This window comes from Homo sapiens, chromosome 8 (assembly GCF_000001405.40).
Source record: "Homo sapiens chromosome 8, GRCh38.p14 Primary Assembly".
NCBI classification, from domain to species: domain Eukaryota; kingdom Metazoa; phylum Chordata; class Mammalia; order Primates; family Hominidae; genus Homo; species Homo sapiens.
The window spans coordinates 144590708-144614232 of record NC_000008.11 but is presented as its reverse complement, the minus strand read 5'-3'; the positions used below and the strand labels follow the sequence as shown (position 1 = coordinate 144614232).

Below are 23525 nucleotides of genomic sequence, written 5' to 3'. Positions count from 1 at the left end.
AAATCCATCAAAACTGACATAGATGTTAGGGTTAGCAGACAGGTTATTAAAGTAATTATTATAACTGTATTCCATATGTTCAAAGAGCAACAGGAAAGACTGAACACATTAAGTAGAGACATGGAAGTATTTTAAAAGATCCAAATTAGAGTTGAAACGAAAATGTCCAAGTACAAAATATGCTGGATGGGATTAATGGTAGATCAGAGATTGCAGATGAAGATTAGTGAACTTAAAGATGAAGCAGTAGACACTCTCCAAACTGAAACAAGGAAAAGAAATACTTTAAAACAAACAAGAGCATCATTGAGCTGTAGGACAACTTTCAGAGGCCTAACAATTATGTGATTGGAGTCCCTAAGTGGGAAGGGAGGGACAGAAGAATTGTTTGAGGACATGATAGCTGAAAAGCTTCCCAGTTTGATGGAAACTATAAGCCTAGATCTGACCATCTTTCTTTTTTCTTTGTTGACCAATGGATTCATGTCACATGATCTGACCATCTTAAGGACCCCTGAGCACAAGAAATGAAGAAAATCACACAAGGCACATCATCATCGAGTTACTCAAAACCAGTTACAAAGAGATAAATCTCAAAAGCAGCCAGAAAAAAAAAAAGCAAGGCCTTTTGTGTATGAAGGAACAAAGACACAGATGACAGCAGATTTCTCATGAGAAACAATGCAAGTGCGAAGACAATGGTGTAGTGTGTTTAAGATGCTGAAAGGGAAAAAAAAAAAAACTGTCCACCAAGAATTCTATACCTAAATATCTTTTAAGTGAAGGTGACATAAAGATGTTTCCAAACACACAACAGCTGAACTAGTTCATTACCAGCAGACCTTCACTGAAAGAAATGTTACAGATGCTTTAGGCTGAAGGAAAACAAAACCATGTGGAAGTCTGGATCTATACAGAAAATTGAAGAGTACTGGAAATGGTAACTACATGGGTAAATACATGATATTTAAATCTCTCTAAAATGTAATTGTTTAAGAATAGTAACTGTGTAACAGAGAGGAATTTATAACATATACAGAAATAAAATATTTGACAAAAATGGCAAAAATAAAAGGCCAGGAGAGAAGAAAATGGTAAATGCATATATTTGAAGTGGTAGAATAGCCGTTGAAGGCAGAGTATGACAAAGTAAAGATGTATGTTATAAACCCAAAAGCATTTACTAAAATAGCAAAGCAACAAATTACAGCTGATAAGTGAACAGTGGAGATAAAGTTGACCCACATAAAATACTTAATCCAAAGAAGGCAGAAAAGAGGAAAAGAGAACAGATAGAACAGGTAACACACAGCAAGATGGTCAGATTGCATAAAAAATCAATACTCACATATATGTGGGCTAAAATAAACCTTTTTTTTTGAGACAGGATCTCACTCTGTTGCCCCGGCTGGAGTGCAGTGGTGCAGCCGTGGCTCACTTCACTCTATCCCCCTGGCTGGAGTGCAGCGGCGCAGCCGTGGCTCACCTCACTCTGTCGCCCTGGCTGGAGTGCAGCGGCGCAGCCGTGGCTCACCTCACTCTGTCGCCCTGGCTGGAGTGCAGCGGCGCAGCCGTGGCTCACCTCACTCTGTCGCCCTGGCTGGAGTGCAGCGGCGCAGCCGTGGCTCACCTCACTCTGTCGCCCTGGCTGGTGTGCAGCGGCGCAGCCGTGGCTCACCTCACTCTGTCGCCCTGGCTGGAGTGCAGCGGCGCAGCCGTGGCTCACCTCACTCTGTCGCCCTGGCTGGAGTGCAGCGGCGCAGCCGTGGCTCACCTCACTCTGTCGCCCTGGCTGGAGTGCAGCGGCGCAGCCGTGGCTCACCTCACTCTGTCGCCCTGGCTGGTGTGCAGCGGCGCAGCCGTGGCTCACCTCACTCTGTCGCCCTGGCTGGAGTGCAGCGGCGCAGCCGTGGCTCACCTCACTCTGTCGCCCTGGCTGGAGTGCAGCGGCGCAGCCGTGGCTCACCTCACTCTGTCGCCCTGGCTGGTGTGCAGCGGCGCAGCCGTGGCTCACCTCACTCTGTCGCCCTGGCTGGAGTGCAGCGGCGCAGCCGTGGCTCACCTCACTCTGTCGCCCTGGCTGGAGTGCAGCGGCGCAGCCGTGGCTCACTTCACTCTGTTGCCCTGTCTGGAGTGCAGTGGTGCAGCCGTGGCTCACTGCAACTTTGACCTCTTGGGTTCAAGGAATCCTCTGGCCTCATCCTCCTTTTTTTTTTTTTTTTTTACATGGAGTTTTGCTCTTGTCACCCAGGTTGGAGTACAATGGTGCAATCTCGGCCCACTGCAACCTCCACCTCCCAGATTCAGGCGATTCTCCTGCCTCGTCTTCCCGAGTAGCTGGGAATACAAGTGCACCCCACCATGTCTGGCTAATTTTTTTATAGAGACAGGGTCTCGCTATGTTGCCCAGGCTGGTCTTGAACTCCTGGCCTCAAGGGATCCTCCTGCTTCAGCCTCCCAAAGTGCTGGGATTGTAGACATGAGCTACTGTGCCTTGCCACCCTCTTTAAATTTAAATAAATAAATAGGTTATAAGTAAAAGAAGGATAAATGTTACACAATTCTAACTCTGATGTAAAGCAATCCGGAGTTACTGTAATATCAAATGTACTGATTTCAGAGCAAAGGAAACAACCAGGATAAAGATACTTCATGATAAAAGAGTTCATTCATCAAGAAGACACTGTAAATGTGTATGCACCTAATAACAGAGCTATAAAATACATGAAGCAAAAACTGATAGTGCAAAGAGAAGTAGACAAATCCACAGTTGTAGTTGGGACTCTCCTGACCTGTTTCTCAGTGATGGATAGAACAAGTAGAACAGAAATTAGTATCAGCACCATCAACCAGCCTGATCCGATTGGCTTTATACGCACTTCACCCGGCAGCACGTTCTTTTCCAGTGCACACGGGACATTTACCAGGATAGACCATTTTAGGGGACCATAAAAAGCATCAATAAACTTGAACAAATTCAAATCATATAAATTATGTTCTCTGAGAAAAACATAATTAGAAACCAATAAAAAATATCTGGAAGATGATTAGTTACTGAGTATATGTTCCATTAGTCAAAGAAGAAATCAAAAGAAAGGTTAGAAAGCTTTCTGAGGCTGGGCGTGATGGCTCACGCCTGTAATCCCAGCACTTTGGGAGGCAAAGGTGGGAGGATCCCTTGATCTCAGGAGTTTGAGACCAGCCTGGCTAACATGGTGAAACCCCATCTCTACTAAAAATACAAAAAAATTAGCCAGGTGTGGTGGCATATGCCTGTAATCCCAGCTACTGGGGAGGTTGAGGCAGGAGAATCGCTTGAACCTGGGAGGTGGAGGTTGCAGCAAGCCAAGATCCCACCACTGCACTCCAGCCTGGGTGACAGAGTGAGACTCCATCTCAAAACTCTTTGAACGGGATGAAAATGAAAATACAGCATATCAAAACTTGTCGGATATCATGAAAGCTGTACTCAGAGGGGTATTTTATAATACTAAATACCTAAAAAAAAATTTTTTTTTTTTGAGACGGAGTCTCTCACTGTCGCCCAGGCTGGAGTGCAGTGGCACGATCTCAGCTCACTGCAAGCTCTGCCTCCCAGGTTCACGCCATTCCCCTGCCTCAGCCTTTCGAGTTGCTGGGACTACAGGCGCCCGCCACCACGCCTGGCTAACTTTTTTGTATTTTTAGTAGAGATGGGGTTTCACAGTATTGGCCAGGATGGTCTCAATTTCCTGATCTCGTGATCCACCCACCTCGGCCTCCCAAAGTGCTGGGATTACAGGCGTGGGCCACCACGCCCGGCCCTAAATTTTTTTTTTAAATGTACAAATCACTGAACTCTGCTTCTAGCTTAGGAAATTAGAAAAAGGAAAGCAAATTAAGTCTAAAGGATGCAAAAGAAAGGAAACAAACATCAAAGTGGAAATTAATGAAAACAGAAAAATAGAAAAAAAACGATTAAGCTGTCTTTTTGAGGCAGTCAGTAAAATCGATAAGCTTCTAGCCAGAAAAGTGAAAAAAGCAAGACATTTTTATATCAATGTCAAAAATGAAAGATGTGGCATAGCTACAGAGTCTGTTGCTCTTAAGAAGATATAAAGGAATAGTATGGTATAATAACTTATGCCAACAAATGTGATTAATTTTATATGAAATGGGCAAGTTCCTTGAAAGACAAACCATTCATACTCACGTAAGAAGAAATTTTTAGAGCCTGCTCAGCTCTGTATCTATTAAATAGATTCAATGTGTAATTGAAAACCTTCCCACAAAGAAACTACATGCCCATCTGGCTTCACTGGAATCTCTGCCACACATTTAAGGAAGAAATAATAGCAATTCTATATAAACTCGCCCAGGAATTTGAGAGGAGGGAATACTTCTCATTTTGTTATGCTGGTATTACTCTGATAGCAAAACCAAAGATGTTACAAGAAGAAAATAGATGCAAAAATGAATATGAATATGGATGTAAAAATTCTTAACAAAATTTTAGCCAATCCCATTTGAGAATATATAAAAAGGACAATATGGCCAGGCGCGGTGGCTCACGCCTGTAATCCCAACAACTTTGGGAGGCTGAGGCGGTGGATCATGAGGCCAGGAATTCAAGACCAGCCTGGCCAACATAATGAAACCCCGTCTCTACCAAATATACAAAAAAATTAGCTGGGCATAGTGGTGGGTGCCTATAATCCCACCTACTTGGGAGGCTGAGGCAGGAGAATCGCTTGAACCTGGGAGGTGGAGGTTGCAGTCAGCCGAGATCATGCCACTGCCCTCCAGCCTGGGCAACAGACTGAGACTCCGTCTCAAAAAAAAAAAAAAAAAAAAAAGGACAATACATCGTGACCAATTGGCATTTATACAAGGAATACGTAATTGGTTTAAGAATAGAAGATTAATTGATGGAATCCAGCTATTACCAAACTAAAGAGAAACCATGTGATCATTTCAATAGATACAGTAAAAGTATTTTACAAAATCCAACATCCATTCCTAATTTAAAAAATAACTTGACAAACTAAAAATACAAAAGGCATTCATGAAAAAGTTACAGTCAACATCATACTTAATGGTAAAAGACTGGATGCTTTCCCTGAGATTAGGAGGAAGGCACATATGTTCACTCTTACTAATTGTGTTCAGTAATAATACTGCAGGTTCTTCCCAGTGCAATTATGCAAGAAAAATAAAGGATCTAGTTTGGAAAGGAAGAAGTAAAACTTTTTATTCACTGTTGACATGATCATCTCTGCAGAAAACATAATAAATCTGTGAAAAACAATTAGAACTAATAAGTGAGTTTATCAAGGTTACAAGATCAAATTGTAAAAACAAATAACATTTTTTTCTGTATTAGCAACAAAAAATTGGAAATTATATTTTGTTAGTATTATAAATATGAAATGCTTAGGGTGACTTAACTAATATGTGCAAGATTTGTACACTAAAAACTACAAAATGTTGCTGAAAGTAGACCCAACTAGAGAGAGATGTTTTGCTCCCAGATCAGATTTAATGTAGGTGAGATGTTGATTTTCCTCTTACTCATCGATAGATTCAACACAACTGCAATCAAAATCCCAGCAGGCTATTTTGTAGAAATCGAGAAGCTGATCCTGAAATTCATATAGAAATGCAAAGGACCTGGAATAATTAAAACAACTTCAACAATGAAAAGCAGAGTTTGGGGACTCGCAGTGCCTGATTGCAGACCCGGTGCATTTGGACTCACTGTGGCGTGGGGTCCCAGATGGGAGGAAGCTTCCTGAGAGGTGACGCCTGAGTTGAGTCTAAGAGGACAAGGAGGTCAGTGAGCATGTTGGAACCCATGATGGAAGGATGGACTGAGGATGGAAAGCAGGTGCATAGGGGAAGGAGTTGGTCAAGGTGGCTCTCAGGCTGTGGTGGATGCTTTTTAGCTTTTTAGAACTTCACTGATACTGCTGTTTTACTTTTCAAAAAGATTGAAGCTGTACGAGCAGGTCACCTGTTTCCTCTCAAACAAGAAATTAAAAATATTTGAGTTTCATTTCTTCTTCTTTTTCCTTTTTTTTTTTTTTTTTTTTTTTTTGAGACAGAGTCTTGCTCTGTCGCCCAGGCTGGAGTACAGTGGCACGATCCCGGCTCACTGCAACCTCAGCCTCCCAGGTTCAGGTGATTCTCCTGCCTCAGCCTCCTGCGTAGCTGGGATTTCGGGCACATGCTGCCACGCCTGGCTAATTTTTGTACTTTTAGTAGAGATGGGGTTTCGCTGTGTTGGCTAGGCTGGTCTTGAACCCCCGACCTCAAATGATCCACCCGCCTCGGCCTCCCAAAGTGCTGGGATTATAGGCATGAGCCACCGCGCCCGGCCTGAGTTTCATTTTTAAAAATAGCATTCGTAGCAGTCCCAAGCATTAAAATAAATACTTGTGTGGAGATTTGAGTGGCGGAAAGCGCGTTTCCTCTAAGGAGGTGGTTACCCCGCTTGTGAGCGGCGTGAGTGTAGGTAGGATTTGTGGCCCCACAATCTGTCTGGGACTTGGAGAAAGTTTCCAATTGGCCTGCAGTGTCCCTTCCCGTCACCTGCTGTGCTCTCTTCTGGGGCTTGAGTCTTTTTTATTTCCCCTTGAATTAGCACAGCTAGTATCTATGGAATGGCCTCTCCTGGGGGGCGGGGTGGGGGCTGTACTGATACCAGCTGGGGCATCCGGGAGCAAGAAGACAGGTGCCCACCACAGCAGTGCCCACCACGGTTCGGCAGACTGTTGGAGTGTAGCGGCACATGTGAGGCCCTGTGGCTTCTATAAGCCAGTGCTACAGGCGAAGTGGCACCAAGGCTAGGAGCAGCCATACAGCCGTGGGTCCCTCCCCGTCACCACCCGGGCCGGAGGCCATGGGTTCTGATTTCTAACAGCAGAGGCTGCTTTTGCCTGACCTTGAACCTCAGGAAAGGCAACTGTACTCTGTGCATTCAGTTGTGTCTGGCTTTTTTTTTTTTTTTTTTTTTTTTGAGACAATGTCTCGCTCTGTCGCCCAGGCTGGAGCGCAGTGGCGGGATCCTCCCTCCTCTTCCTCACGTGTAGCTGGGACCATAGCCACGCTCCACCACACTCGGCTGATTTCCTTACTTATTGGTAGGAGTTTTTAATATGTCTGATGTGGCCCTTTGTCAGATTACACACACACATTACACATGTTCTCTGTAGCAAATATCTCCCACTTAGGATGTGGGTTTTTTTTTTTTTTTTGCTTAATAGTTTCTTGATAAACAGATGTTCTTAATTTTACTATAGTCCAATTTGTTAATTTTTCTTTTGTGCATTGTTTTTTGTGTGTGTCCAATTAAGATATTTGTGCCTACTGTAAGGCCACAAGGATTTTCTCCTACATTTCTTTCCAAAAGCCTTATTATTTTACTTTTAACATTTAGACCTACAGTGCATCTAGAACTAAGTTTTACGTACGAGATTGGATGAGGTAGAGGTCAAGGTTCATTTTTTTCACACTTGACCCTTGAACAACTTAGGGTTTAGGGGCACTGACCCCCACCAGGTGGTCAAAAACCCATGTCTTACTTTCCTCCTCCTCCTCCGCAGTCACCTCCTCCACCGTCACCTCCTCCTCCTCCTCCTCCTTCTCCTCCTCCTTCTCTTAACTACAAACAGCCTGCTGTTGATGGGAAGCCTTCGGATAACAACAGTCAATTCACGTGCATTTTGTATGCTATTGTAATATCTACTATACTCTTCCTATAAAGTCAGAATAGAAAATGGTAGTAAGAAAATAATAAGGAAGAGAACACATATTTACTGTCATTACGTGGAAGTGGATCATCCTAAAGATCTTCATCCTCGTCGTGTTCACATTGAGTAGGCCGAGGAGAAGGAAGAGGAAGGGGGTTGGTTGTGCTGTCTCAGGGGAGGCAGAGGAGGAAGAAAATCCATGTATATGTGGCCCTCCTGGCTCAGACCCGTGTTTTTCAAGGATGGACTGTACACCTGGTGAACACAGCATTGTTGTTGGAAGTCAGGTGGTCCGTGTGAACATGGATTGCTCCTGAGCGCCCTTGTGCTACACGTGTGGCCCCGTGTCCTTCCCCAGTGACTGCCGGCGAGTGTCGCCTGTGTGGACAGCTGGGGACACTGAGTCTCAGATGTGGGGCTGAGAGTGAGGGCGGAGCAGGTCCTGTGTCCTCCTGTTCGCCCTCCTCCCAGTCCTCCAGTCCTACGGTCCCACGGTCCCCCCATGCTTGGCTTGTGCCTGCCCCGGCCCATCGTGGAGTGGGGCTGGTGTCTCAGACTGGCATGGGGGGGATCCTGGCTGGTGGGCACAGCCTCCCTGCTGCGTGTGGGGCTGGCCAGGCTTCGCTGCAACGCAGGGCCAGGCATCAGGAGCACTGAGGAGTGGGGTTGGCTGCCCGGGGGCGGCTCACGGGTGCCGTGGAGTCCATCGTCATCCTGCCCAGCCAGTCTGCGGCGGTGGGCTGGGCCGGGTGATTGGTGTGGTGAGGCGTCTTCCATATCAGCACTGTTGCTTCTCCCCTCTTGCAGTGCGGCACCTTCCCGTCTGATGCTGGCGTTGTGCGTATGGTGCCCTGACGTCTGTCCACGTGGGCGCGGAAGCAAACAGCGATGTCCCAGACGCAGGACTACGAGTGCAGGAGCCATAATGTCGACCTGCCGGAGTCGAGGATTCCAGGGTCGAACACTCGGTAAGGAGCCGACCGACCTGCGGAGCTGCCCGGGCCTCACGAGTGGGTGGAACTGCTTTCTTCCTGCAGAGAAAGCAGTGTGCATGCAGGATTCTCCGTGGAGAATGGATTCGTCGCTGGCTGTTCCCAAGGCCTGGATGGCCGATGCCACCTGTGCACAGTGCAGCCCTCAGGGCCGTGGCCTGCGTTCCTGCAGATGCGGGTCGCCATGATTCGTCGTTTTTCTCTTTCTAATTTTTGATTTTCTAATTTATTCATTGATTTATTTCTTGAGGAGACAGGGTCTCACTCGGTTGTCCAGGCTGCAGTGCAGTGGCTCCATCATAGCTCACTGCAGCCTTGAACTCCTAGGCTAAAGCAGTCCTCCCACCTCACCTCCCAAGTAGCTGGGACTGCAGGTGTGCACCACCACGTCTAGCTGATTTTTCTAATTTTTTGTAAAGATGAGGTCTGTTGCTTGGGCTGGTCTCAAACTCCTGGGCTCAAGCGATCCTTTTGGGAGGCCGAGGCCTCCCAAAGTGCCAGGATCACAGACGTGAGCCACTGCTCTGCCCTGATTTCTAGGCTTTTATTTGGAAATAATTTCATGCTTCCAGAAAAGTTACAAGAATAAGAACAGCCCCATGAGTGCTCGAGTGCCCTTGCCCAGAGACCCTGTGGCTAGCATTGCTCCCGTCGCCTCTGAATGCTTTTGGGGGTGGCGGTGTGAGAGCGTGAGCTCCCTCAGGACGTCTTCCAGGTAGCCCAGGACGCTTGTTACCACAAGTAAATCTGGCCCTGTCCCGTCTCAGCCAGTGTCCCATGCCTCCAGGTCAGCTCTGCCCCTGACTGCCTCTCTCTCCTTGGCCTTTTTTAATCTGGAAGAATTCCACAGCTTTTCTCTGCCTGTTGTCACATTGATATTTTTAAGGTAATAGTCACCCTATTTAAAACAGATCATCCCAGCCTGGGCAACCTAGCGAGACCCCATCTCTACAAAAAATACAAAAATTAGCCAGATGTGGTGGCAGATGCCTATGGTCTCAGCTACTCGGGAGGCTGAGGTGAGGAGATCCCTTGAGCCCAAGAGGTTTAGGCTGCAGTGAGCTGAGATCACACCACTGCACTCTGGCCTGAGCGACTGCGTGAGACCCCCGTGTCACAGTAAATAAAGTAAAATAGAGAGTTCCTTGGTTTGGGTTTGTCTGACAGTTTTTCAGGAGAATGCCATACAGGTGGTGTTGGGTCCTCCCGGGCCCCGCATCTGCAGACACTGCTGTCCATCTGCCCCTCACCTGGCAACATGACCTCTGACCCCGACAGAGGCCTCGCCCGCACCCCCCGAGGTGCAGCTGCTGCCTCCCGGCCACCTCTGGGCGCTCTGGGCCCGGCTCCGTGTCTGATGCTTTGTGCCTCCCTGTGTGGTTGGTCTTTCTGGGACTCTGTGCACCTTCCACAGTTGCGATCCGCACTCTGCCTTGACCTGAGCAGGAGTCCTGCTGTCTCCTTGTTCATTCGTTTGTTCGTTCTTCATTCGTTTGTTCGCTGATGTGGGCTGTGAGCTCCGTTGGGTTTTTTCGGGGTTGATATTGCGCTTGCTCTTCACTGGCTTGGTGCATAAGCGCCCAGATAGGCCCCTAAGCGTCTCGCTGGATCCTGTGTCCCTGATGTCCTCATTCCTGCAAGTGCTAGCTTCCTCCTGGCACAGCTGCCCTGCTCAGCCTTGGAATCAGCTGTTTGTCTAGGGAGTGCTGGTTCCTTTTAGGGAATACTGGTCTTACAGAACAAGGTCTGGGTTCTTAGAACATTCAGTGCTACTGCAGTGTATTTGCTTTTTGCTTTTTGGCCTCTTTTTTTTTTTTTTTTTTGATGGAGTCTCGCTTTGTCGCCCAGGCTGGAGTGCAGTGGCGTGATCTCAGCTCAATGCAAGCTCCGCCTCCCGGGTTGAAGCATTTCTTCTGCCTCAGCCTCCTGAGTAGCTGGGATTACAGGTGCGCACCACCACGCCCGGCTAATTTTTTGTATTTTTACTAGAGATGGGGTTTCACCATGTTGGTCAGGCTGGTCTTGAACTCCTGACCTCGTGATCTGCCCGCCTCGGCCTCCCAAAGTGCTGGGATGACAGATGTGTGCTTTTTGGCCTGAGCACACAAAACTAGAAAATTATGCAGGAGTATGCACATGTACACACACAGGTTCACGAGCGTGCACACATGCCTCCACACATGCAGGTACATGCACACGCACACACACAGATACACGAGCACGCACACACACCTCCACGCACATGCACACAGGTACACGAGCACACACGCACGCCTCCAGGCACACACACAGGTACATGAGCACACACACGCCTCCACGCACACACACAGGTACATGAGCTCGCACACACACCTCCACGCACATGCACACAGGTACACCAGCACACACACGCCTCCACGCACACAGATACATGAGCTCGCGCACACACCTCCACGCACGCACACAGGTACACGAGCTCACACACACGCCTCCACGCACGCACACAGATACATGAGCTCGCACACACACCTCCACGCACATGCACACAGGTACACGAGCTCGCACGCACGCCTCCATGCACACACACAGGTACACGAGCACACACACGCCTCCACGCACACACACACAGGTACATGAGCTCTCACACACACCACACACATGCACACAGGTACACGAGCTCACACGCACGCCTCCATGCACACAGGTACACGAGCACACACGCCTCCATGCACATGCACACACACGCCTCCATGCACATACACACAGGTACACGAGCTCACACACACGCCTCCATGCACACACACAGGTACACGAGCGCACACAACTCCACGCACATGCACACAGGTACACGAGCTCGCACGCACGCCTCCATGCACACAGGTACACGAGCACACACACGCCTCCACGCACACACAGGTACATGAGCTCGCACACACACCTCCACACACATGCACACAGGTACACGAGCTCGCACGCACGCCTCCATGCACACACAGGTACACGAGCACACATGCACGCCTCCATGTACACAGATACATGAGCTCGCGCACACACCACGCACATGCACAGGTACACGAGCTCGCACGCACAACTCCATGCACACACACAGGTACACAAGCACACACACGCCTCCACGCACACACACAGGTACATGAGCTCGCACACACACCTCCATGCACATGCATACAGGTACACGAGCTCGCACGCACGCCTCCATGCACACACACAGGTACACGAGCACACACGCCTCCACGCACACACACAGGTACATGAGCTCACACACACACCTCCACGCACATGCACACAGGTACACGAGCTCGCACGCACGCCTCCATGCACACACAGGTACACGAGCACACACGCCTCCACGCACACACACACAGGTACATGAGCTCGCACACACACCTCCATGCACATGCACACAGGTACACGAGCACACACGCCTCCACACACAGGTACATGAGCACGCACGCATGCCTCCACGCACACACACAGGTTCACGAGCACACACACGCCTCCATGCACACACACAGGTACATGAGCTCGCACACGCACCTCCACGCACATGAACACAGGTACACGAGCTCGCACGCACGCCTCCATGCACACACACAGGTACACGAGCACATGCACGCCTCCATGGACACACACAGGTACGTGAGCTCGCACACACACCTCTACGCACATGCACACAGGTACACGAGCACACACGCCTCCACACACACACACAGGTACATTAGCACACACGCATGCCTCCACGCACACACACAGGTTCACGAGCACACACGCCTCCACGCACACACACAGGTACATGAGCTCACACACACACCACACACATGCACACAGGTACATGAGCTCGCACGCACGCATCCATGCACACACAGGTACACGAGCACACATGCACGCCTCCATGCACACACAGATACATGAGCTCGCACACACACCTCCACGCACATGCACACAGGTACACGAGCTCGCACGCACGCCTCCATGCACACACACAGGTACATGAGCACACACATGCCTCCACGCACACACACACAGGTACATGAGCTCGCACACACACCTCCACGCACATGCACACAGGTACACGAGCTCGCACGCACGCACGCCTCCATGCACGCAGGTAGACGAGCACACACGCCTCAACGCACACACAGGTACATGAGCTCGCACACGCACACAGGTACACGAGCACACACACGCCTCCACACACACACACAGGTACATGAGCACGCACGCATGCCTCCATGCACACACACAGGTTCACGAGCACACACGCCTCCATGCACACAGGTACATGAGCTTGCACACGCACCTCCACGCACATGCACACAGGTACACGAGCTTGCACGCACGCCTCCATGCACACACACAGGTACACGAGCACACATGCACGCCTCCATGCACACACAGGTACATGAGGTCACACACACCTCCACGCACATGCACACAGGTACACGAGCTCGCACGCACGCCTCCATGTGCACACACAGGTACACGAGCACACGCCTCCACGCACACACACAGGTACATGAGCTCGCACACACACCTCCACGCACATGCACACAGGTATACGAGCACACACATGCCTCCACACACACACAGGTACATGAGCTTGCACACACCACGCACACGCACAGGTACACGAGCACGCACGCACGCTTCCATGCACACACACAGGTACACGAGCACACACACGCCTCCACGCACACACACGCGCAGGTAGGTAGATGAGCTCACGCGCATGCCTCCATGCACACGCAGGTAGGTACACAAGTGCGCACGCACGCCTTGAACACGCACACTCAGGTACACAAGTGCACACGCACGTCTCCACGCACACGCACACGCAGGTACACAAGTGTGCACGCACACCTCCATGCACACGCAGGTAGGTACCCAAGTGCGCACGCACGCCTCCACGAACACGCACACTCAGGTATACAAGTGCACATGCACGCCTCCACGCACACGCACACTCAGGTACACAAGTGCACACGCACGCCTCCACGCACACGCAGGTAGGTACCCAAGTGTGCACACACGCCTCGATGCACACGCAGGTAGGTACCCAAGTGCACATGCACGCCTCCACGAACACGCACACTCAGGTACACAAGTGCACACACACGCCTCCACACACGCAGGTAGGTACCCAAGTGTGCACGCATGCCTCCACGCACATGCACACTCAGGTACACAAGTGCACACGCACGCCTCCATGCACACGCACACGCAGGTGGGTACAGGAGCACACAGACACCCCCACGCACACGCACACGCAGGTAGGTACACGAGCTTGCACACATGCCCCCCACACACACGCACACGCAGGTAGGTACACAAGTGCGCACACACGCCTCCACGCACACACACAGGTAGGTACATGAGCTCGCACACTCGTCTCTACGCACACATAGGTACACAAGTGCGCACACATGCCTCCATGCACACGCACACAGGTACATGAACATGCATGCATGCCTCCACGCGCACAAACGCCTCCTAGAAATGCTGAGCACACACGGTGCCCCAGTCCCGTCCCTCCCACAGAGAGTTGCTCTGTGGTCCCCTCTTCCATCACATCTCTTCTTCCCTGGCTCCCAAGAACACCAGTGTGTTTACTCACTTGCTCATCTGATAATTCATCTAAAATTGGTTCAGAATTGCTTCACCCATTCCACTACAAAAATATATGCACTAAAAAAAGCCAGGGTTCATTTGCATTCCCTCATGTGCACGTGTCTCCCAGGAATGCGACACTGGCTCATCCTGTGTTCCTAAGTTGTTTGGATTAGCTCTTTCTCTTTTCTTCATTATGGTTCTGGCATCCGTTGGTTCATTACTTTCAGTTAGAGATTTTTTTGTCCCCCTTTTTATTCTTCCTGATATAATTTTGTCTTTTAAACATATAGACCATTCGCACGTTCCCAAAGCCCCAACCGTACACAGGCACATTCAGCCAGGCCTCTTCCCCGTGCCCTTTCTGCACCTGCCTACCTGCTGCAGGCAGAAACTCTCTTGTTTTCTGTTTATCTCCTGGGTTTCTATTGTGAAGAATAAACAGATGTTAGTATGTTTTCTTATTTCCCCTTCATTCTTACACTAATGGTATCATGATTTATGTGTTCTTTGCACAATTTGCTTTTTCCACTTAAAACATCCCCTAGACATCACTGCCTCCCAGACCATCGAGATTGTCGTCCTTTTTCAAAGCTTCCTGGGCCTCTATTGTGTGTGTGCCTCAGTCTTGTGTTGGCCATATGGGTAATTTCGCATATTCTGCAATTACAAGGACTGCTGCAGTCTGCTTGTATAATTCTGGGTTTTGGGAGGTGCATCTGCAGGTGAATTTCTGACGAGGGACTGCTAGGTCCAAGGATGCCTTTGGATGTGCTGTCCTTGGGGCTTCTGTGAGCAGCACCAACCCCGGGCCATCGGGGCCGTCAACAGCTGCCTGCTGTCAGATGTGTGGGCAGGTGCCTGGGGTCTCCATGCAGCCTGGGCTTTGGGGCTCTGATGATCACTGAAGTAGTTACCCTCCGTGTATTACTGTTCACTTTGTGAATTGCATGCTCTTATCTTTTGCTCTTTTTCTATAGTATTTTTTATCTTTTCATGCTCAAATTTATATATTAAAGACATGAGCTCTTATTGTAAATGTTCCACTAAATGTGTCTGAAAAGCCAAAATCTGTTTTATTTGTAGTGGCTTTTGCATGTGAAAGGTTTTGAATCTTTGTGTAGTCAGGTTGGCCATCCTTTCTTCAGTGCCTCTGTGTTTTAGTCACCTCCATCCAGGTGACTGGAGAAAGAGCACGTGGCACCTGCTCATGGGCTGACATACTTTTGTTTTTGCCTTTGGGTCTCAGATCCGCCTTGGTTCTTGTGTGTGGTGTGAGGTGTGATCTGACCTGTTTGTTTTCCACATGCATCCGGCTGTCCCCGTGCCATTTGTTAGAGGCTGAGGCTGCCTGTGCTCTGTGAGGGGCACTGTGCCTTCTCTCATGCCCCGGGCTCTGTAAGGAGCTGGGGCTGCTTCTGCCCGTCTGTCTGGTCCTGCTGGCCTCCTGTCCTGTGCCCAGCCACACCTGACTCATCGAGAGTCTCTTCTGCTCCTTCCCAGCCTCCCTGGGGCTCATGTGTCCTCATGTGGCACCTTGGTATCCCTCCACTGACACCCACAGCTGAGTTCCGAGTTTCCCCTTTACACACAACGTGGAAAAGCCCACGGCTGGGTTCCGAGTTTCCCCTTTACACGCAACGTGGAAAGGCCCACGGCTGGGTTCCGAGTTTCCCCTTTACACTCAACGCGGAAAGGCCCACGGCTGGGTTCCGAATTTCCCCTTTACACGCAATGCGGAAAGGGCCCCGCAGGTGTCCAGCCTTCGAGGCCATGCCGGGCGCCCTCTGGACTTCCCCGGGCTGCTCCTTCCCCACCACGGAGCTCCTACTCTGGCCGGACTCTCCTTCCCTGCTGGCGGGTGGGTCTGCGTGGCTTCCTACCTGGTGGGTTTGAGCATCTCCGTGTGTTCTTAGCCCTCAGGTTTCCACCTCTGGGAATCTCCTCCGGCCTTTTCTTCCATTTAATCATCTTTTTTAGCCTTTGTGGTGTGGACGCATCCCTGTCTGTTCCGGGTACCGTTGCATGTTGACTGAGCCTGGATTATGGTCTCCATCTGTGCTCACGCCTTTGTGTCAGTGCTGGTGGCTTTTGATGAGCCAACGTGTTGAGCTCCAGCGTTCTCTGTCCACCTGCCTTTTCTCTTCCTGTCTTACTCAGGAAGCCCTTTCCTAACTGAGCTCCTGAAATTCTTCACGTATTTTCTTCTAAAAGTCTTAAAGTTTTGCCTTTCCCATTTGATCAGACTTTTTCATATCAACCCAAGTCAGCAATCCCGGCCCCATTGATTACAGTCTTGACCCCCTGATCCTGGGTTCCCCCCGCCCCCTGCCCCCATCCTCAAGGGCGTCGCGTAGATCTGCAAGGGGCAGCGAGGGGCTCTCTGTCCACGCCTCAGTGTGCTGGGGTTCCAGCCTGGGCACGTGGCTTCCTTGGCTTCCTGGCAGCTCGCTGTCTGTGTCCTGTGTTCCTCCCCAGCTGCAGTCCTTTGATTCAAAGATGCCTCCGCCCTCCCTCCACGTGCTCTTCTAGATGGAGACAGGACCAGTCGGCCCCACCCAGAGAAGACGTTGGGCTTTGGACTGGAGGCGTAGGGCGGTGTGGCTGCTGGTGCAGAGTGTCCTGGGATTTGATGAGGTGGTTGCTGCATCGGGTGGAGCTGCCTCCCCACGTCCTCACAGAGCAAACGCATCTCCTGCTGGCTTCACCTTGCTGTTGTGAGCCCTCGTTACAGCCCTAAGGCTGTTAGGGTTCTGGTCGCCCTCCTCCCAGGCTCCACAGGCAGTCAGCCAGGTCCCTCCTCTGTCTCCTTGGGCACAGATTAACCAGGGATGTCAAGGCCCAGAGGGAGTTCCCGCAGCTCCTCCCTCACCACGTCTGGTGTGAGAAGCCATGGCCTCTGCTGTTGGGACTCCATCTCATGGCGTTAGACCTGCCTTGCCCTTCTGGTGGTCTCAGGAGAGCACGATGTGCCTGGACACACGCCCTGGGCCTGGAGGGAGAGTTGGGAAGGTGGGGCTGGCCGGCAGAGCCTGCGCCCTCCGGTGCTTAGGGGTGTGGTACCCTTGCGGGTCTGGAGGACGATCTATCATGGTGGCCGCTCCTGCAGCACGTGCCAGGTCCTGCGGCACCAGTGGGTCCTCTGTCTGTGTGCTGTTTCTTATCTTCGCCGAGGACCCCGGCAGTGCGCGCCACCCGGGGCCTGCAGCACTGGATGCTTACCTGGTAAAGAGCAGCGCCTGGCTGTGTGCAGGAGGCCCAAGAGGCCACTCCTCCCCCACGTGCTCACCGTTGCAGGGCTTCCTCTGCCCCCGCGCAGCACCCCCTCCATGCAGCCCTCATGGCCAGTCTGGATTCACCCCACGAGTGAATGTCCTTCAATGCTAGGCCTTGATTTAGGAGACCAGGAGGGAGTGGAAGGGCTTAACTTTTGAGTCACTTGTCAGGAACAAAGTCTTGAGGCCAGACAGGAGCAGTGGTGGAGCACTGAGCGGTGATGGACAGCGCCGGGGTGGCGAGGCCTCAGCCGTCCCCTCTGCCCACTGAGGGGTGGTGGACAGCGCCGGGGTGGCAAGGCCTCAGCTGTCCCCTCTGCCCACTGAGGGGTGGTGGAGAGTGCCGGGGTGGCGAGGCCTCAGCCGTCCCCCTCTGCCCACTGAGGGGTGGTGGAGAGTGCCGGGGTGGCGAGGCCTTAGCCATCCCCTCTGCCCACTGAGGGGTGGTGGACAGCGCCGGGGTGGCCAGGCCTCAGCCGTCCCCTCTGCTGCCAGGGCCCGTTGGGTTCCGGTCATGTGGGTTTGCTGCGGGGCCTCTGTCTCCTTTGTGTGTCATGTGCAGTTGTGAGCAGCCTGTTGGGTGAGGAGGGGATTTGGTGTCTGCTGCTTGGTCTGGGTGTCCTCTGCGGGTATCTGTGGTGATTGGTGTGGGGCTGGCCACACCTGCCGCCTGGCAGAACTATAAGGATAGAAAGAGGAGCAGCGTGGCAAAGAGGACAACATCTGGGAACAAAGAGCAGATCAGGGAGGGGTGATGGGAAGATGGCGGCGCGGCGGGAGGGACACTGGCGCCCCTGGCAGAGGCTGTACAGCCAGGAGCTGTGCTGGGGGCTGCATGCCTTGGGGAGTGGTCCCACTGGACCCACCAAGAGGGTCTGCTCGGGGCCAGCTGTGGCGGCTGGAGCTCAGCATTGCCATGGCCATCGTGGACCCTGGTGGCCCCGTTCAGCCTCTGCACCCTCCACATGTTCCCAGATACCTGCCTGCCTCTTGGGACCTCTTGGCTGAGGGCAGCCCGATGGGGCCTTCCCAGCGAGAGCCCAGCCCAGCTGCCCCTCACCTGCCAGACTCCCTTTTTTTTATATAATTCACATGCCACAAAGCTCACCCTGTAAGGTGCACAATCCAGTGGCTCTTAGAACAGTCAGAGTTGTGCAGCTGCTGCCACCATCCACCTCCCACAGAGAAGCCCCACTCCCAGCAGCAGCCTCTCCCCAGCCTCGGGCACGGCGGGCCGGCTTTGTGTCCTGTGGGATTCACCTGCTCCAGACGATTGAAGTACGTGGAATCATACGAGTGGTCCTTCGCTCACGTCGACATGCCCCAGGTCCATCCACACCATAGCTTGGGTCTGGGCTGCATCCCTGTTACTGCTGAACAATATTCCCGTGTAGGGATGGGCCACATTTTGCTTCTTCATGCATCAGTTGAAGGACGTTTGCTCTGTTGCCACTTTTTGGCTATTATGAATCATGCTGCCATGAACATTTGTGTGCAGATTTCTGTGTGAAGACGTTTTCGTTTCTCTTGGGTGTGTATACCTAGTTGTGGAATTGCTGGGTCAGGTGGTAACTCTGTGGGGTTTTATTATTTTTGAGAAAGGTTGGTACTTGTCAGGCTGGAGTGCGAAGGTGCAATCACAGCTCACTGCAACCTGCAACTCCCAGGCTGAAGCGATCCTCCCACTTCGGCCTCCCAAAGTGCCGAGATTACAGCCACCACACCCAGCCTGTTTAACTTTCTTTTTCAGACAGAGCCTCACTCTGTCACATAGATTGGAGTGCAGTGGCACCATCTTGGCTCACTGCAACCTCTGCTTCCCGGATCCAAGTGATTCTCATGCCTCAGCCTCCCAAGTAGCAGGGACTACACATGTTTGCCACCACCACACCTGGCTAATTTTTGTATATTATATTTAACCTTTTTTTTTTTTTTTTGAGGTGGCGTTTCGCTTTTGTTGCCCAGGCTGGAGTGCAGTGGCACAATCTCAGCTCACCGCAACATCCGCCTCCCGGGTTCGAGCGATTCTCCTTCCTCAGCCTCCCGAGTAGCTAGGATTACAGGCGCCCACCATCATACCTGACTAATTTTGTATTTTTAGTAGAGACGGGGTTTCACCATGTTGGTGAGGCTGGTCTCGAACTCCTGACCTCAGGTGATCTGCCCACCTCGGCCTCCCAAAGTGCTGGGATTACAGGCATGAGCCACTGCGCCTGGCCGGTATGTTTGATTTTTTGAGGAACCACCAAACTCTTCCACAGTGGCCACACCAGTTAATGTTCCCACTTCCCACCAGCAGTGTATAAAGGTTCCAGTTTCTCCACATCCTTAGCAACACTTATTATGGCTTTTACCTCCAGTGGGTTTGAGATGGTGTCTCTTGTGGTTTTGATTTTTTGATTTGCATTTCTCCTATGGCTAATGATCACGAGCGTCTTTTAATGTAGATTGGCCATCTGCATATCTTCTTTGGAGATGTGTCTGTCCAGATATTTTGCCCATCTTTAAACTGGGGTATTTATCTTTTTTTTTTTTTTTTTTTTGAGACGGAGTCTCACTTTGTCGCCCACGCTGGAGTGCAGTGCTGTGATCTCGGCTCATTGCAACCTCTGCCTCCCGGGTTCAAGCAATTCTCCTGCCTCAGCCTGCCGAGTAGCTGGGACTACGGGCATGAGCCACCACACTCAGCTAATTTTTATATTTTTAGTAGAGATGGGGTTTCACCATGTTGGCCAAACTGGTCTTGAACTCCTGACTTAGGTGATCCACCTGCCTTGGCCTCTCAAAGTGCTGAGATTCCAGGCGTTAGCCACGGCACCCAGCCTGTCTTTTTTTTCTTTTCGAGACAGGATCTCACTCTGTTGCGCAGACGGGAGTGCAGTAGATCAGGGCTCACTGCAGTCTCCACCTCCCAGCCTCCTACCCTGTTGTTACTGAATTAGGAGAGTCCTTTGTGAACCTCATCAGATGGATGATTTGCAGGTGTTTTCTCCCATCCTGTGGCTGTGTTTTCACTCTCTCGGGTGGCCACAAAAGTTTTAATTTTGATGAAGTCTGTTTTTCCATTGTTTGTCTTATTGCATGTGCTTTTGGTGTCATAGCTCAGAATCCATTGCCAAATCCGAGGTCATGCAGAGCCGCCCCGTCTATTCTAAGAGTTTTGTCAGTTTAGCTCTTACATTGAGACCTTTCGTCTACTTTGGATTAATGTTTGTGTGTGGCATGAGGTAGGGTCTGACTGCATTTGTTTGCAGGTAGACGTCCACCTGCACGTTTGTTGAAGAGACTCTCCTTTCCCGATGGAGTGGTCTCGACACCCTTGTCTACGTCTCCAGGGCAGGGCACATTCTTGTTCACTCTTGTGTCCCTAGCACCTGGCAAATTGTCTGGCATGCACGTGGCACTCATTACATTCATCAGAAAAGGCTTATGTGGGCTGATCGCTGTGTGCAAACAGACATCTCCAAGAAACAGGGGCTGCAGGAAGGTTGTTCCGCCTTGACAGCAGCTTCTGGGAAGAGGCCCATCCCGCCGGGTACCCTGAGTCCCCTGGGGATCGTAGACATCTTGCATCCTTCCACCTTTGTCACCAAATGGCTTATTTCTCTTCCCACTTCATTTTAAATACTGTTGCCAAATGAATATTCCTCAAACACACCTCAGATTGCATCTGTGAGTTGATGCTGACCCTCTGTGGTGGAGGGCCGAGGCGCGAGTTCCCCAGCCCACACAATGTCCTCCCCACCTCGCCCTGTGCAGAGCCAGCCTGCGGGGCCAGCAGCTGTACGCCTCCGTCCTTGAGGTCCAGCTCCAGCCAGTCTGTGGGACCCCTGAGGCCAGGTCGCCCTCTGTGGTCTGAAGCCTGTGCCTTTCTCTGAGCAGCAGCTCCCCAAGGCCCAGCATCCCCATGCTGTGGTCTGCCCTCAGGTTTCCCGAGGGTCTGGGCTCAATGCTGTCCCCCAGGAGGTGCCCTCAGGTTTCCCGAGGGTCTGGGCTCAGTGCTGTCCCCCAGGAGGTGCCCTCAGGTTTCCCGAGGGTCTGGGCTCAGTGCTGTCCCCCAGGAGGTACCCTCAGGTTTCCTAGGGTCTGGGCTCAGTGCTGTCCCCCAGGAGGTGCCCTCAGGTTTCCTAGGGTCTGGGCTCAGTGCTGTCCCCCAGGAGGTGCCCTCAGGTTTCCCGAGGGTCTGGGCTCAGTGCTGTCCCCCAGGAGGTGCCCTCAGGTTCCCCGAGGGTCTGGGCTCAGTGCTGTCCCCCAGGAGGTGCCCTCAGGTTTCCCGAGGGTCTGGGCTCAGTGCTGTCCCCCAGGAGGTGCCCTCAGGTTTCCCGAGGGTCTGGGCTCAGTGCTGTCCCCCAGGAGGTGCCCTCAGGTTTCCCGAGGGTCTGGGCTCAATGCTGTCCCCCAGGAGGTGCCCACAGTGTTCTTAGGAGGCTGGTGTTCTGCCCACACGCGCGCAGGAGTGCACTGAAAAGGGAACAAAATGCTATTCTTTGTTGAGAGAATTATCCCATTACATTCATTTGAAAGTGCATTTTAAACAAAAATAACAATTGGTATTACTTCTTTTAGGGCATAGAATGTTCGATTCTCTGCTGTCTGAGCTTCTCTGTACTCAGAAAAACTATTTTGGGAGTATCTCAACTTTGTTCTGCTAAAATCTAACAGAAGTGACGCGAGAACAGGAGATCAGGCACCACTCCCTGCAGGCACCACTCCCCACAGGCACCACTCCCCACAGGCAGCACTCCCCGCAGGCACGAGGCGACGAGGCGACGCCGCCATCCAGGGGAAGCCGCCCTGGCACACGGGGCCTGTTCCTTCCAGGCAGGGAGGCTGTGCTGTTGCCGAGGGCACCTCACTGCTCACCGCGTTTGACCTGCGTCCATGTGGTCCTGTCCTTGGTGTGCGTCCTGAGTTCTGACCCCAGACCTGACACAGCCCCGCCCTCCAGGTGCTCAGGCCGAAAACCTTGCCCTTCCTCGCCTCTGCTCCCCCACCCCTCGCCTCTCTTCTGGCACGCACCCTGTCCCCCAGCACCACTGGCCTCCCGGAGCCTTCATCCTGCTCCCTGTGGACCAGCCAGGAGGTTCCGCATGGCTGGGGCGCCCAGGGAACAATCATGGTGGAAGGGGATGCAAACAAGTCCTTCTTCAGGGTCCGTTCACCTGAATTAGGTCAGGTCAGCCCAGGCCTCAGGCCCTTCACGGTGGCCCTGCTACCTTTGGTCCCCCCAGGCCTCAAGACAAGTTTCCTGCAGATGTCTGCTTGCAGGTGCCTTCTTGGGGTTTCCTTGGGTGCCCTGAGGCTGCTGCATCTGCCGTTGTCCTTTTCAATGTCCCAGCAGGTGCTCCTCACACGCGCCACCCTCCCCTGCAGGTCTGTGCTCACGGGAGCACAGAGCAGCTGTCCATTGGGGTCCAGGCTCCGGCTGGGGAGAGGAGGTGTATGGACAGGGAAGGCACCTGCTGGGGGACCGTGAGCCTCTGGCCTTGCACCCCAGGCCTGCGCAGCCACCCGGCTCCAGGAGGTCATGGAAGCAAAGGTGACAGAGACCGGCCAGGCTGAGGAGTGGACCAGGGGGATGGGGGCTTTGCCAGGAATTGCCCCACTCCAGGGTCAGTGCCAGCTGTGGAAGGTGTCAAGGGTATAATGACCAGGTCCCAGTTTTGGGAGTTTCTTCCATCTTCAGCGTGGAGAATGGCCTGGACGGGGCAGGGGTGAGGGCTGGGGTTCAGGGCGACCTCACCCTCTGGCTGGACCCCAGGGCGGTCGACAAGGCTCATGGCCAGGGACCAGGAGGAGACAAGCCTCTGGCCTGGCTGGGGTCTCCATGCTGGCTCTGTTCCCAGGCAGGGCTAGGGCAGCAGGTTGGGTTGTGGGGGGGTAGGGGTGTCTCTGGAGCTGACAAAGACCCCTTCAGTGCACAC

General features: G+C 52.0%; 1 protein-coding gene across 5 annotated transcripts in view, besides 2 other annotated features; it reads left to right on the top strand.

Annotated features, from left to right (window-relative positions):
• Window positions 1–23525, top strand: part of ARHGAP39 (Rho GTPase activating protein 39) — a 171184-nt gene that overhangs the window by 86130 nt on the left and 61529 nt on the right. For 3 of the 5 annotated variants that reach the window (XM_011517308.2, NM_001308208.2, NM_025251.3), the window contains exon 2: window positions 8538–8698. In XM_011517308.2, the coding sequence (XP_011515610.1) occupies window positions 8619–8698 (80 nt within the window). In that variant the 5' untranslated portion in view covers window positions 8538–8618. Of the gene's footprint in view, window positions 1–729; window positions 953–5560; window positions 5812–8537; window positions 8699–23525 lie in introns of those variants that run through there. The other 2 variants (NM_001308207.1, XM_017013870.3) reach the window with 1 other exon arrangement.
• Window positions 22063–22644: an enhancer, noted in NCBI's record as "H3K4me1 hESC enhancer chr8:145816973-145817554 (GRCh37/hg19 assembly coordinates)". NCBI's record gives its function as "activates a minimal SCP1, AML or CMV promoter by ChIP-STARR-seq in naive H9 embryonic stem cells {active_cell/tissue: H9 hESC(naive)}" and the evidence as "EXISTENCE:reporter gene assay evidence [ECO:0000049][PMID:30033119]".
• Window positions 22645–23226: an enhancer, noted in NCBI's record as "H3K4me1 hESC enhancer chr8:145816391-145816972 (GRCh37/hg19 assembly coordinates)". NCBI's record gives its function as "activates a minimal SCP1, AML or CMV promoter by ChIP-STARR-seq in naive H9 embryonic stem cells {active_cell/tissue: H9 hESC(naive)}" and the evidence as "EXISTENCE:reporter gene assay evidence [ECO:0000049][PMID:30033119]".